The 14,431-nt window shown below is 51.8% G+C and overlaps 1 protein-coding gene across 2 annotated transcripts in view, besides 1 other annotated feature; it reads left to right on the forward strand.

Moving 5' to 3' along the window:
• Positions 2,307-2,496: a silencer, noted in NCBI's record as "silent region_7795". NCBI's record gives its function as "represses an Ori minimal core promoter by ATAC-STARR-seq in GM12878 lymphoblastoid cells {active_cell/tissue: GM12878}" and the evidence as "EXISTENCE:reporter gene assay evidence [ECO:0000049][PMID:35858748]".
• Positions 2,534-14,431, forward strand: part of CRISPLD2 (cysteine rich secretory protein LCCL domain containing 2) — an 89,524-nt gene continuing 77,626 nt past the window's right edge. For both annotated transcript variants that reach the window (XM_005256190.2, NM_031476.4), the window contains exon 1: positions 2,534-2,682. The gene's annotated coding sequence lies outside the window, so the exon portion shown is untranslated. The remainder of the gene's footprint in view (positions 2,683-14,431) is intronic.

The raw sequence follows: 14,431 nt of genomic DNA on the forward strand, positions 1-14,431 counted from the left end.
GCCAACTTGGGCCGGTGAGGAGCCTACAGGGTTGCCATACAAAGGATCTGTAAGGAGATGAGGGTTGGATTAGCAAAGTGGCAAACATTTCACTATTGACAACTGCCAACCCCCGTTCCACCTGCTGGGCCTATGTAGAGGCTGATTCCGTGTAGCTTTCCTTCCTCTTTGCTGGAGTGGGGATGGAGTAGGGACCCAGTTCATTCCATTCCCCTGCACCCAAGGTTTCATGGTCACAGGCAATGGCAGCCACGTGGGTGAGAGTGTGAATTCAAATCCTGGCTCTTCTATTCAGAGGCTGTGTGGCCTCAGGGAAGTGACTTACACTCTCTGTGCTCAGTTCCATCATTGAAAAAATGAGGCTAATAACAGGACCAGCCTGGAGGGTTGTTGGGGGTGGCAGGATTTGGCAGTATAATGCTTTGGGGTCAGGTACTCAGAGGCATCTGTTTTGTTGTTGTTTGTTTGTTTGGTTGGTTGGTTTTGTTTTGAAATAGGGTCTTGCTCTGTCACCCAGGCTGGGATGCAGTGGCTCGATTTCAGCTCACTGCAACCTCCACCTCCCAGGCTCAGGCAATCCTCCCACCTCAGCCTCCTGAGTGGCTGGAACCACAGGCATATGCCACCATGCTGGCTACTTTTTGTAGCAACTGGATTTCATCATGTTGCAGGCTGGTCCTGAACTCAAGCCACCTGCCTGGGCCTCCCAAAGTGCTGGGATTACAGGCCTGAGCCATCGTGCCAGGCCTCCAAAGGCATCTGCTAACACAGATCTCTTCTCCCCTTGGATTTGTCTTTTGTCAATCCAAGGACTGTTGTTCTGGAACAGTCTTATTCACTACTGAGCCCTCCAGTGCTTGAAACAGAGCCCAGCACATAGTAGGTGCTTAATTATTGGATGACTGCATGCCAGTTGAGTGCCTCTGAAGAATGATGCTTCAAAGACTGAGAAAAGTAAAACAAAAAGAGGAAAAAAAGATAACAGAAAACATCTGCATTATTATTATCTTTTTGAGATGGAGTTTTGTTCTTGTCTCCTAGGCTAGAGTGCAATGGCGCCATCTCAGCTCACTGCAACCTCTGCCTCTCAGGTTCGAGCGATTCTCCTGCCTCAGCCTCCCAAGTAGCTGGGACTACAGGCATGCACCACCATGCCCGGCTAATTTTTGTATTTTTAGTAGAGACAGTGTCACCATGTTGGCCGGGATGGTTTCGAACTCCTGATCTCAGGTGATCCGCCCGCCTCAAACTCCCACAGTGCTGGGATTACAGGTGTGAGCCACCGCGCCCGGCCAGTCTGCATTATTCTGTATCTGCATTTGAGCCGCACCAAAATCTTAGGCAAGCCTTCCCTGTTTGAGTCCACGTCACGCAGGCAGCCTTCCATAGTCCTTGTTCCACCCATTCCCCATCCTTGTTTCTCCCACGTGCCCTAGCTCGTGGGGGCCCCAGACTCTGAGATCCCGGAGGTGTCTTGTTTGTGCCTGCTGTATAGCACAGGGCCCGGCACAGAGCGACTCGATGGGTATTTGGGGAATGAGTTAATGCTGGAGGAGCTAATTCCGGTGTCTTGGTGCGGAGATGAGCAGTGCGGACAGGCCCCCTCCTGCCCTTGGGCCCCAGCACCTTACCGCGCAGTGCCTGCATACCCGTCCACATTTTGTGACTGAGGCGGGAGCACGGGGCAGTCCCTTAGCTCTTAAGGAACGTGGATTTACCTGTTTCAAAGGTGATTTCGTCTGGCTCTAAATTGATTTCCGTATGTACCTGCACAGGTTAAAAATGCTAAATGCCTCCGGGCAAAAGAGATATGAACATGCTGCACTGCTCCTAGCTACGGGACTTGGGGCACGCTCTTCTCCAAGCCTCAGCTACTGGATCTGTGAAATGAGGTGATTTCCACCTCCCTGGATTCCTGGGAACGCGTCCTAGGGTCGTTGAAGGTAAAGTGCGGAGCCTGGATCCCCGCGCTAGCGGCCCCATCCGGAAACAAGTCTCCCTTTCTTCGTCTGCAAATTGGGAAGAGGGGGCCTAAGTTTTCTGAGCACGTGTAGAGGGTGGGAGTCACCTCAGTAACTGTGTACTCTGCACCGCGCCACAGTTCACAGCGCCCAGCCCTTGCGGATTTCATTTGCTAAAATCCTGGGAGGTCGCCTCCTTATTCCTATTTTCCAGTTGAGCTGCAGAGAGCTGGGGTTTGGTAAATTTGCAAGCCCCTTGTGGGAAGCGCTTGGCACCGCGCCAGGCGCATAGTAAGCGCTCAATGAAAACTATGCTTGTGTGGCCAGTGGCGAGGGAGCTGAGCGTCTCCTTGTCCCTAGCCGGCCCTGGAGGCCAGCGGCCCCGCCTTCCTCGCCCACCCGGCGCCCGCGCCTCAGCTGCCCCCCGCCTCCTTCAGCCCGCTGAGCCTGCGGGGCGGGGCCGGGGGCGGGGCCGGTGATGCTCGGTCCTACCAGCGCCGCCAGCGATCTGGGGGCGTGGCCTCCGGGCTCCGGGGAGCCTACAAGAGGCGGTACGCTGAGCCCCGGCACCCACTCGCATCCCAGGGCGTCTCCGGCTGCTCCTATTGAGCTGTCTGCTCGCTGTGCCCGCTGTGCCTGCTGTGCCCGCGCTGTCGCCGCTGCTACCGCGTCTGCTGGACGCGGGAGACGCCAGCGAGCTGGTGATTGGAGCCCTGCGGAGGTAAGTGTGATTTCCATGCTTCTCCCTTTTGCAAACTGTTACCCCCCCGAGAAGCTGGAATAACTAGGACAGATGCCACCTCGCAGGGCTGACTGTGTGCTGGCACCACACCGAGTGCTCTGCTTGCATAGCGGAACACAGCTTTGCGACATGCCCTTTTGCAGATGGAGAAACTGAGGCTCAGCGAGGACAACTCATTTGTCCAGGACCTCGCAGCCAGGACTCCAAGGACCCAGGATTCAACGCCGATCTGAGCGCAGAATCCTGCTCCTTAGAGGCTGTTTACTCTCTTGCCTTCCTCGTGCAGTTCACTAGCATTTGTTGCATTCCTGTGTTCGTAGTGGGTGTCAATAACTGGAAAGCTGATGGCATGGATATGGCAGGCATTAGAATGTGTCCTACTCATGTCTGGAGGACCAGGGTGATCTAGTGGCATGTGCATTCAGCTGCAGTTTAGAGGGCCACGCCCCTCTGTGATTTCATTTGCAAGGTAGCCTTCTTCCCACATTTCAGATGAAGATGCTGAGGGTCAGAGAGGTGAAGTAAGTTGTCCGGGCAGAGCCAGGGCTGGAACCCAGCTCTGTCTGTCTCCAGAGCTTCAAATGGATGTGTAGAGACTTGGGGCCATGTCAGGGTTCTGCAGTCTGGGGGAACACGTTTCTGGGTTTCTTTAGCCAGAGCGGGCACCTGCATAACTCCTGCGTGGGGAGAGTTACCCTGGAAGCGGAGGGCTCACTCTGGAGTGTGGGGGAGATCGGTCGTCCCACGTGGACAGAGCCAGGGCTAGTCCCTCATGTGCTGCAGACCCAGAGCCTCCCTTGCTAAGGCTGGGCTGGTGGACAAGCCAGGGAGGACTTCGCTGATGCCTGCTCATCGCAGTCCAACTTGAATTGGGCGTCTCTCAGCCAAAATGTGAGTTGCTGCCCTGGCTGAGAGAAGCATCCCGTGCAAATGCCTAGCTTGCCTTGCAACCGAGAGTGGGGTTGTGAGTTTCCCCTTTGGGCCTTTGGACCTCTTGCCCTGGTAGAATGGGGTGAGCCTGCTTTCCCCATCCAGGGTCTGATGTCTGACAGTGAGGAGAGCCTGCAGAACAGGACCGGGGCGTGGTCCTTTCCAGTAGACTGAGGCCATGAGTTGTGACTGTCGGCTGTCCCAGGGCTCCTTGGGTTGTATGCACCTGATTTTCTGCTTCTGCCCCTGATCTGGCTGTTCCCACTCAGGAGAAGGGGTGGGTGTGTGACTGTGTTGCCTGTGCGGCAGGCACGCGGTCTGTGCCACGCAGTTTACCTGTATTGTCATCGCTGCAACACCCCGGGGAGTAGGCCTCTTGATGCCCACTTCACAGCTGAGGAAACTGAGGCTCAGCAAGGTGAAGTGCTTGCCTAAGATCCCCCAGCTGGTATGGAATGCTGTCACCCCCAGGTGGGTCCTATCTGCACTCTTGACCCTGCTTTCTTTAAGACACTTCCCTGCCCACTGCCAACTCCACCCATGAACCTGACCTTCACACAGGTGATGTTTTGTCTTACAGGGGCTCCAGTTAAAACCACTGGACAATGTACCCAGGGAGGAGAAACCAAGAGGGTGATTTTGATTTTTTCAGAGTTTCTTAAGATGTGAGAGTAGGAATAGTAATAATGCCATTTGTAATAATACAAGCAGCTGACATTTACATGATGCTTAGTACAGACCAGACATGCCCAGGGTTTCCACGGATGAGCTCACTGCCTGCTCTATTAGCTGGGCACTTTTTACAAGGAGTTAGTTGAGGCTCAGAATTATTAAGGTGTGTGCCCAACATGACACAGCCAGGGCGGGGTAGAGCTGCCGTCCAGGCTGGGCCCTGCCCCAGATTCTGGGGGAAGGTGCCCATCTAATGACCAGCCACATGACTGTCCCAGCAGAGCTTGCTGCTAGTTGAGGCTTTCTGTGCCATGTGGGAGTTTTTTTAACGTTGGCAGGGATCTGGGTCCCTGGTCCCTGTTGGGGTGAGGCTGGGAGGGGATCAACTGACCCTGGGCTTGGGCTCAACATTGCTGACAGGTACTGAGAGCCCCGTCCCAGGACCCAAATCAGTGCTGGTTCTGAGTCCTGCCTCTGTCCTGGAGAGGAGAGTTGGTTTGACTGGGAAGGCCTGAGCTAGGGAAGAAGACTGCGAGGTCTCTTAAAACCTCTGCACTTCATCCCTCAAAAGACCACAAATTAAGTATGTGGCCCTTTGTAAGTTGCATTTGAAAGTTTTTGGAGGCAGGACCCTCTGACGTCTTTGGAGGTCAGAAAGTTTTTGGAGGCAGGGCACTGACCTCTTTGGCCTGTGGGAACTGGAACTTTTCTTTCCTCTGTCACCAGCGTCATTTGCTGTGTGTGGGAGGTGTCTGCATGTCTGCCTGCGCCAGACTCAGGAGGCTTTTTCTTTCTTTTTCTTTTTTCTTCTTTTGCAAACGCACTGGTTTTTGATCAGTCCCAGATGTGCAAACCCAGGATCACTCAAACGGGCTGACGGCTTGTCAGGAAAGGAAAATTCAATCTGGGCATATTTCACTTCGTCTTCAGTTCATTGAGTGGAACAGATGCTCAGACCTTCCAGGGACAGGGACCTAAAGCACGTTGTAAAGTCTTAAATAGAGCACGCTGAGTTCTGGGACAGGCAAGGGACAGGTAGATCTGGGTGGTGGTTAATAGGATGGGCCATGTTCTGTTTTTCTTTTTCCTGAAAAGATGTATTGTGGTAAAAATACACATAAACATAAAATTTACCATTTAACCCATTTTGAAGTGTACAATTCAGTGGCGTTTAGTACATTGGAAGTATTGTGCAGCCACCACCACTAATTCCAGAGCGTTTCATCATCTCGTAAGGAAACCCCAGGCCCATTAGGCATCATTCGCCATTCTCCTCCCTTCAGCCGCTCATCTCCTTTCTGTCTCTACGAACTTGCTTATTCTGGACATTTCATGTAAATGGAACCACACAATGTGTGGCCTTTTGTGTCTGGCTCCTCTCACTCAGCATCATGTTTTCAAGGTTCATCCATGTTGTAATGTGTATGAGACCTTCGTTCCTTTTTTATGGCTGAGTAATATTCCATTGCATTAATAGACCACGTTTTGTTTATTCATTCTTCCACTGAAGGAAATCTGGGCTGTTTCCACCTTTGGCTTTTACAGAGGCTTCTGCTGTGAACATTTGTGTACAAGGTTTTTTGAGGGCGGATGTTTTCATATCTCTTGAGTGTTTACCTGGGAGGGAATTGCTGGGTCATATGGTAACTTTATGTTTAACTTATTGAGGAGACTGTGGCCTCTTTTTTGAGTTCCTTCTTGAAGCATCAACTCAGGTCATGTCATTCCAGAATGTGTTGCTGGCCTTCTCCATGGGTGCAGGGAAGCCCTGGCATTTGGCATTTGTGGGCAGTGTTGGCGTGCCACCTGGGTCACAGCAGCAGCAGGCAGGGAATCCTGAGACATCGCCCTGGGGGAGCCCTGCCTTCTACCCCAGGCTGTACAATGACGAGTACTCTTGGACAAAGACCCCTCTTGCAAGGCTGCGAGGACATCATGGTCCAGCCCGAGGGAGATTTATCTTTGATTGTCTTGAGTGCTGCATCAGCTAAGACAAAAACCACAGAGTCAGAGGGAAAAAAAACGTCCTGATGAGGATTGTGCAATTTCCGGACCATCATTTTTTAAAAATTATAAATTATGAAATCCCACATTTTCAATCCCAATTTCTGGAACGTGTTTTATTTTGAGCACAGAATGGCAACATCCCAGGAAAAAAAGTCATGCTCCCATTTTGCTTGTAATCAAGTGAGCTGGAACTGACCCTACCCCAAATATTTTTTGAATAGGGAAAAGACTCAACTGGACCCCTCTAAGGACTGGGAGCTGGCATGGAGCTGGCATCTTCTGAGACTGACTTGAGAAGAGCCTGATAACGCCTAGAGGAAACAGGCAGGGTTTTGCGAGCAGGGGAAGATGATAGTGGGTGGGTGGGGAGCTGGCGAGGGTGCCCCAGGCAGAGGCACCGTGTGTGTGCAAAGGCCTGCAGGTGGAGAAGGGCCTGGGACTCTTGGAGAATGGCAGGAAGTTTGGTGTGCCTGTAGTCTACGAGCCAGGCTCAGGGCAGCAAAGGTCTGTCCTGCAGGTGTTGTGATGAGCTGTACCACTTAGTGGGCACCATCAAGATGAACAGAGAGTAACACGGTGGCACTGAGAACTTGAGAACAGCTCACTCTAGAATGAACTGTGTCCTCCAAAGTGTGCAGAGCCAATACCTAGGGGTCCCCAAGGTGACTGAGCACGGGCACAGATCCAGCAGCAAATCCCCCCAGTCCAAGAGCTGTTCTTTCCATTCTCTGTTCTTTCCATTCTCTGTTCTTCCGGTCCTTCTGCTTATGGCAAGGTGAAAGTCACAGGTGGAATTGTCCCTATCACCTCTCCCACACCCTGATCTCCTTTTACAACAAAGAGCAAGCATCCTCTACAACAAAGCCTTTGGTTGGTGTCAGTGCCTGGCTGGGAGGAAGTAACTGTTGTTTTTACTGTGTTTAATTTCACTCCTGCCGTCTGTTCACGGCACCAGTGATCAGGTTCTCTGCCAGTGGGAGTGATAGAAAGTTACCTTTTTAAAGTAAATTTCTTGGAACGCAAAAAACAAGCCAAGTTAAATAAAAATACAAAATATGGGGCCAGGCGCGGTGGCTCATGCCTGTCATCCCAGCACTTTGGGAGGCTGAGACGGTGGATCACCTGAGGTCAGGAGTTTGAGACCAGCCTGACCAACAAGGTGAAACCCCATCTCTACTAAAAATACAAAAATTAGCCGGGCGTGGTGGCAGGCACCTGTAGTCCCAGCTACTCGGGAGGCTGAGACAGAAGAATTGCTTGAACCCGGGAGGCGGAGGTTGCAGTGAGCCGAGATCACGCCACCACTGCACTCCAGCCTGGGTGACGGAGCGAGATGCCATTTCAAAACAAAAACAAAATATGTACTGGTACCAGTACACAGTAGGAAGGTGGGCAAAACTTGGGAAGGGGGATATTCAAAGGACAGGGTTTGGGAAATGCTGGATCAAGGTCGGGGAAGAAGGAGAACTGAGAGGCTGTTATAATTTAGAGAAGTGCTTCTCAGAGTGGGGGCCAGCAGCCAGGCGCCGTGGCTCATGCCTGTAACCTTAACACTTTGGGAGGTCTAGGCGGGAGGATTGCCTGAGCCCAGGAGTTCGAGTCCAGCTTGTGCAACATAGTGAGATGCTGTCTCTACAAAAAATTTAAAAATTAGCTGGTGTCCTCTCAGTGTGTCTTGTCCTCTCCATGTTTCTAAAATAAAGGAAGAAAGGCCCAGCGCAGTGGCGTACACCTATAGTCTCAGCACTTTGGGAGGCCAAGGTGGGCAGATCACTTGAGGTCAGGAGTTCGAGACCAGCCTGGCTAACATGGCAAAACCTTGTTTCTACTGGAAATACAAAAATTAGCTAGGCGTGGTGGTGCACGCCTGTAATCCCAGCTACTTGGGAGGCTGAGGGAGGAGAACCGCTTGAGCCTGGGAGGCAGAGGCTGCAGTGAGCCAAGATCACACACTGCACTCCAGCCTGGGTGACAGAGCGAGACTCCATCTCAAATAAATAAATAAATAAATAAAAATAAATACATAAATACATAAAATAAAAGAAGAAAAAAAATTAGCCAGCCGTGGTAGGGCACACCTGTAATTCCAGCTTCTTGGGAGGTAGAAGACTTGAGCCCAGGAGGCTGAGGCTGCAGTGAGCAGTGTTCACGCCACGGCACTCCAACCTGAACAACAGAGTGAGACCCTGTCTCAAAAAAAAAAAAGTGGGTTCCTGGCCTGGAAGCACCTGAGGACTCATAGAAATGCAGGTTTTCAGGCTTCCCTGGAGACCTGGATCAGAAGCTGTGGGGTGGGGCTGGCAGTCTGTTGTAACAAAGCATCCTGTTATCCTAGAAAGCTAAAGAAGGCTTGCCCTGGGGCCCTGGCACAAAGGTGGGGCATGGAGGGCTGGCTACTGGGGTCAGCGTGGAGCTGTGTGGACGGTTCTGGTTATAGGGCCTGGTGTGACCAGAAAGAAGTCACGAGTGACCTGGGAGCTGAAAGACCACCTCCCTCCAAAATCAGGAAGGCCCCTTAAGAACAAGTTGTTGGCATATTTGGAAGGCTTTCTTCCAGAAGAACACTCAGCCCTTTGGCACTTTGTGCTGAAGCTGTGACGCCCTGATGCTCCAGGGCCTGAGTCAGTGTCCTGAGGATGCTGGCACCCTCCTTCAGAGCACGTTTCATGCCCCTATGTGCCTGGGAAGAGCCAGCTACGCACATTTACTTATAACCCCTGAAGGGGTGAGCTGTTTCCTCAAGGGCATTGAAGACACCTCTATGATGTGTGTCCATCTTCCCTGCCATCTCTCCCTCCTGCCCCAGGCCTGCTGCCCACACAGCCAGTCCGTTCGCCCCGGGAGGGAAGACACGGTTTATTCCCCGGGACCTGCGAGGCTGGGGCTGCCCTGGGACTGAGAAGGTATTTTCAGCTGGGCCTTGGCATCGCAGGACAAAGTGCTCTCTCAGACTTGGGATGAACTGGGCCCTGTCTAGGAGAGTCGTGTGCGGGTCCAAGGGGGAGGCCCCACCGCCAGCTGGACTTTATCTGGGGCCTGACACATCGCAGTTCACTTTGAAGGCTGCTGAGCCGGGGCCCCAGGCCTGTTTCAGCTCTGAGACTCCTGAGGGAAAGGCCCCGGGATTTTCTCTTGCATAATGGTGTGCTCTCTCCTTGGACCACTCCTGCCCTCTTAATCCAGTCTTCAAACAGAGGTCAGAGCAACATCAAATTTTTTTTTTTTATAATTTCTTGTTGATGCTTAACATACCAGGGAAGAGGGCACAGCCGTCTCTGTACCGGCAGAGAGATTTTCACAAAGCGCCGTAGCCCCGGTCACAGCAGAGCCTGGCCGGCCCCCAGAAGCCCCCCAGGCCCCTCTCACTGCCCCCGCACCCCCCAAGGTAGTCATTTCCGGACTTCTAAGGGCACAGGCTGGGTTTGCCTGGTTTGGACTTGACTTAAATGAAACCATGCGTGTTGAATCCCCGGAGTCTGGCCCCTTCTGTTGGTTGAGCACCGTGTCTGCGGGGTTTGTCTGTGCTGTTGTGTGTTGCAAGGCTTTTGCGACACAAACCAGACCCTGTCACCGCCCGACTTCCCTCCCTCGAGGGCCCTCTTTGCATTTAGAGCAAAACCAAGAGTCCTCACCGTGGCCTTCAAGGCTGCTCACCACCTGGCCCTGGCTGCCTCCTGACCCCATTCCTCCCCAGCTTCATGGGCTTTTCGCCTGTCCTCGGTCACGGTCACGCCTCGACTGTGACCCCTTCTGAGCCTTTGTCCTTGCCCTTCCTGCTGCCTGCAGTGCCCTTTCTTTTTTTTTTTTTTTTTCTTTTTTCTGAGAAGGAGTCTCACTCTGTTGCTCAGGCTGGACTGCAGTGGTGCGATCTCAGCTCTTTGCAACCTTCACCTCCCGGATTCAAGCGATTCTCTTGCCTCAGCCTCCCAAGTAGCTGGGACTACAGGCATGTGCCACCACGCCCAGCTAATTCTTGTATTTTTAGTAGAGACAGGGTTTCACCATGTTGGCCAGGCTGGTCTCGAACTCCTGACCTCAGGTGATCTGCCCTTCTCAGCCTCCCAAAGTGCTGGGATTACAGGTGCGAGCCGCCGCACCGGGCCTACAGTGCCCTTTCTTTAAGAGCTCAGCAGGACCTTGCCGTCTACCCCAACCAGAGTGGTTCTGCCCCCCTCCTCTGTTCATCTTCGCCATCCGTGTGTCCGGGATGTCCTGCTCACACCTTCGGTATTTACCTGTCCGCTGCCCGTTTGTTTACTCTCTGTCTCCTCCCAGTCCCGAGGGCAGATTCGGTCTTTTTCACTTGCAGATCCCAAGGACTCCTGGGATTTTCACCTGCAGAGTGCTATGGAGGTTCCGCAGCCAGCTCTCGACTCATCTTCGCGGATGCCACCTGTCAGTGAATCACGCTTCTCAGGCAGGGAGACTGGCCCGGGCTGCCAGCCCTGGAGCCCAGCACAGAGATGACCTGGGGCCCTGAATTTACTCAGGAGGAGAAGGGAAAGAAACATCATTAAACACCATTAAGTTCCTGGGATTCTGTCACTGGGCCCTTTATAAACATGATCCTGGGTAGTCATAGCACCCTTCCTCCCCTAGCCATGGAAGAAACTCAGGGCCTCATGCATGAGTGAGGAATTAGAGGCTTGAGGAAGTTGAGGCATGCCCAGCTCCATGCAGTGGCGGCAGAATTCGAACCCAGAGCTGCCCATTCTTCTCTATGCCTTTCCTCATTGCCTTCTGGGAGTCCGTAATTCCTTTCCCTTCGGAGAGGGAGGGCTCCTGCTGTTTATCTTTTAAAGCTTTGCTGGGAACATTGTTTCCAGGGAAACAACCACACGTCTTCAAGAAGGGAGAAAGGTGCCCCAGGAGTTATGTCCTGGGGTTTTAAAGAATGTATTAATTTATTACCTGGTCCCTTAAAAGTGACTTTTCTTATATATCACCTTGGCTTGCATCGAATGCACCTGCTTTTCAGTTCTTTTTTTTTCACATAGTGCATTAAATAAGAGTTTGTTGAATGACTATTTTCTTTTTGTCCAGAATTTTGTATATGCTTAGCATAGTATGTAAACAATGAAAAGCATTGTATAGATTTTTTGCTCAATTAAGCATCCAGACATATTGACTCAGAAATCCCATAAGAATATATCTTTTGTTAATTAGCTGGACGTGGTGGTGCGTGCCTGTAGTCCCAGCTACTCGGGAGGCTAAGGCAGAAGAATCGCTTAAACCCAGGAGGCAGAGGTTCCAGTGAGCTGAGATCTTACCACTGCACTCCATCCTGGGGACAGAACAAGACTCCGTCTCAAAAAGGAAAAAAAAAAAGAATATTATCTTTTGTTGAGGTGACAGGAGGAGAGAAGGTGCCTTGTGGGGCTGGTGTCGCCTTTAAGCTGAGTGGACTGTTGGCTGTCCTGGGGAGATGGGGAATTCAGCACAGTGCAGGCAGCAGCTAGGGAAGGAGCTGGAGCTGGACTGTGGCCTCCCTTGGGTCTGGCTTCAATCCTGCCAAGAAGGGTTTAAGGAAAACTGCCAGGCTGCAGTGAGTAGGGGAGAAAGGGCCCCCACTCACTGCGTGGTGCTTACCCAGGCGCTCTAACGGGATGTTCTGCTCAGTCAAGGGATCTGCCAGAGACACAAACGGGGGGAGTGGAGTACCCCTCCTTCCAGCCACTGCTTCATTCCTGGAATTTCTGGGTGGTTTGTGGGTATGACTCTGATCTGCCCTTGGCCTCTTGCTCAGATCTGAGTTCTCCTTTGATACTTGTGAGGAAGGGTAGAGCCTAGAGAACACCCCGACCCCCAGGCTTCTGGGGTCAGCTGCTCTCCTGTGGACCATGGGTCTCAGCTGAGTGGTGCAGGGCCACAGGTCAGAACTGCCCTGATGTTTAAGAGAGTCGCTGCGTGGACGACCCAGGACTGGTAAGTGACCAGGGCGTAGTGAATGAATCGACATTGTCCTCAGGCCTTATGTGTGACCACAGGCAAGTTGCTTATCTTTTTTAAGCCTCAGTTTCATCGTCTGTAAAATAGGGCTATTGTCACAGTGGCCTCATCAGTTTGTGGACCACATGAAATGTTCAGTGCAGGAGTAGAGGGCCCAGGCCACGCCTGCGGCAGCCCCTTCCTCATCCCACGTTGGCGTGGGTTTGGTGATGAACATTTGCTGGGGGCATAAAGTTGATTGAACAAGGCTCAGTGCTGGCCAATGGTGAACTGCAGCCAGCTTGGACTGGCTCATACCAGCTCTTGAGAGCTGATAGTTACATTTTCAGGGCCAGCGTAGTGGCTCACACCTGTAATCCCAACACTTTGGGAGGCTGAGGTGGGAGGATCACTTAAGCTCGGGAGTTCGAGGGTGGCCTGGGCAACATAGTGAAACCCCTTTTCTACTATAAATACAAAATTAGCTGTGCCTGGTGTTGCACACCTGTAGTCCCAGCAACTTGGGAGGCTGAGGTGGGAGGATCATTTGAGCCTGGGAGGTTGAGGCTGCAGTGAGACATGATTGCACCACTGCACTCTAGCCTGGGTAATAGTGAGACCCTGCCTCAAAACAAATAAATAAATAAAATTCAGTAAAAAATGGATTGCGAACCAGTTCAACACAACCAGCATTAAACGTTAGATTATAAAAACTTACAGTTAAGTTATATTCCGGGCATGGTGGCTCACGCCTGTAATCTTGGCACTTTGGGAGGCCGAGGCGGGTGGATTGCCTGAGGTCAGGAGTTCAAGACCAGCCTGACCAATATGGGAAACCCTGTCTCTACTAAAAATACAAAAATTAGCCAGGCGTGGTGGCATGCACCTCTAGTCCCAGCTACTCCGGAGGTTGAGACAGGAGAATTGCTTGAACCCAGGCGGTGGAGGTTGCAGTGAGCTGAGATCATGCTATTGCACTCTAGCCTCAGCCTGGGCTACAGAGTGAGACTCTGTCTTAAAAAAAAAAAAAAGTCATATTTAAAAAGAAGGTAATAAATACTTAAAACCTATCACTTTTGACTTTTTTCCTGCATTTTACTGTGGCCTCTGCTCTTGAGATTATCAGTGTCTATGGGATCTGCGTGATGGAAAGGCTGCGTGACCGTGTGCTTCTGGGGATCTCTTTCCAGAAACTCCATGCTCGGTGACTTCACACTGGTTGCTTGAAGTTGGCCATGGTGGGAGTATTTACACCAAGGGAATTGGCAAACACCGCAAGGCAGGCTGGTTTTTGCTTGGTTTTTGTTTTGGAAGCTGGTGGTGAACGATTTACCATCCCACCACTGTTCCGGCCCTTGAGAAGCTCGGGGTCCAGGGAGGGAGGCTGAGAGTCAGAGCGGCTGCAATCCTGGGTGGGGAGCCCAGGGCCGGGGGTGCCCATGGGCCTGTCAACTCAGCTGAGACGCAGCCATGGAAGAGGACAGAGCTCCATGACAGAAAATGACATCTGACAGGATAACCTCGGTGTGAATCACCAAATACATTTGCATGGGTGGCACCTGGCCAGGTGGTGACATGAATCCCCCAGACCTGGCACATGACATCTTGGACATCTGGGGAAAAATGGCCAATGCTCAAGGTATATACAGAGCTAATATACGTTTCAAATTCAGTAGAGGGTCCCCCTGCCATCCCCCAAGCATTGGACATTTAACAGATTTTTTTTCCTTTTTTCTTTTGAGATAGAGTCGCCCAGGCTGGAAAGCAGTAGCACGATCTACAGTCTGCATCTCCCAGGCTCAAGCGATCCTCCCGTCTCAGCCCCTCCACGAGTAGCTGGGACTACAGGCATGTGGCACCGTGCTTGGCTAATTTTTTTATTATTATTATTTTTAGTAGAGACAGGAGCTCACCATGTTTCCCAGGCTGGTCTCAAACTCCTGAGCTCAAGCGATCCTCCCAGCTCAACATCCCAAAGTGCTGGGATTATAGATGTGAGTCACCGCACCTGGCCTAATAGGATTTTTATTTTTTTTAATTTTTAAATTTTCAAATTTTTTATTTTTTGAGTCTTGCCGTGTCACCCAGGCGGGAGTGCAGAGGCACGATCTCGGCTCACTGCAACCTCCACCTCCCAGATTCAAGTGATTTTCCTGCCTCAGCCTCCTGAGTAGCTGGAACTACAGACACG

The sequence above is a fragment of the Homo sapiens genome, chromosome 16, assembly GCF_000001405.40.
Source record: "Homo sapiens chromosome 16, GRCh38.p14 Primary Assembly".
Classification (NCBI taxonomy): Eukaryota; Metazoa; Chordata; class Mammalia; order Primates; family Hominidae; genus Homo; species Homo sapiens.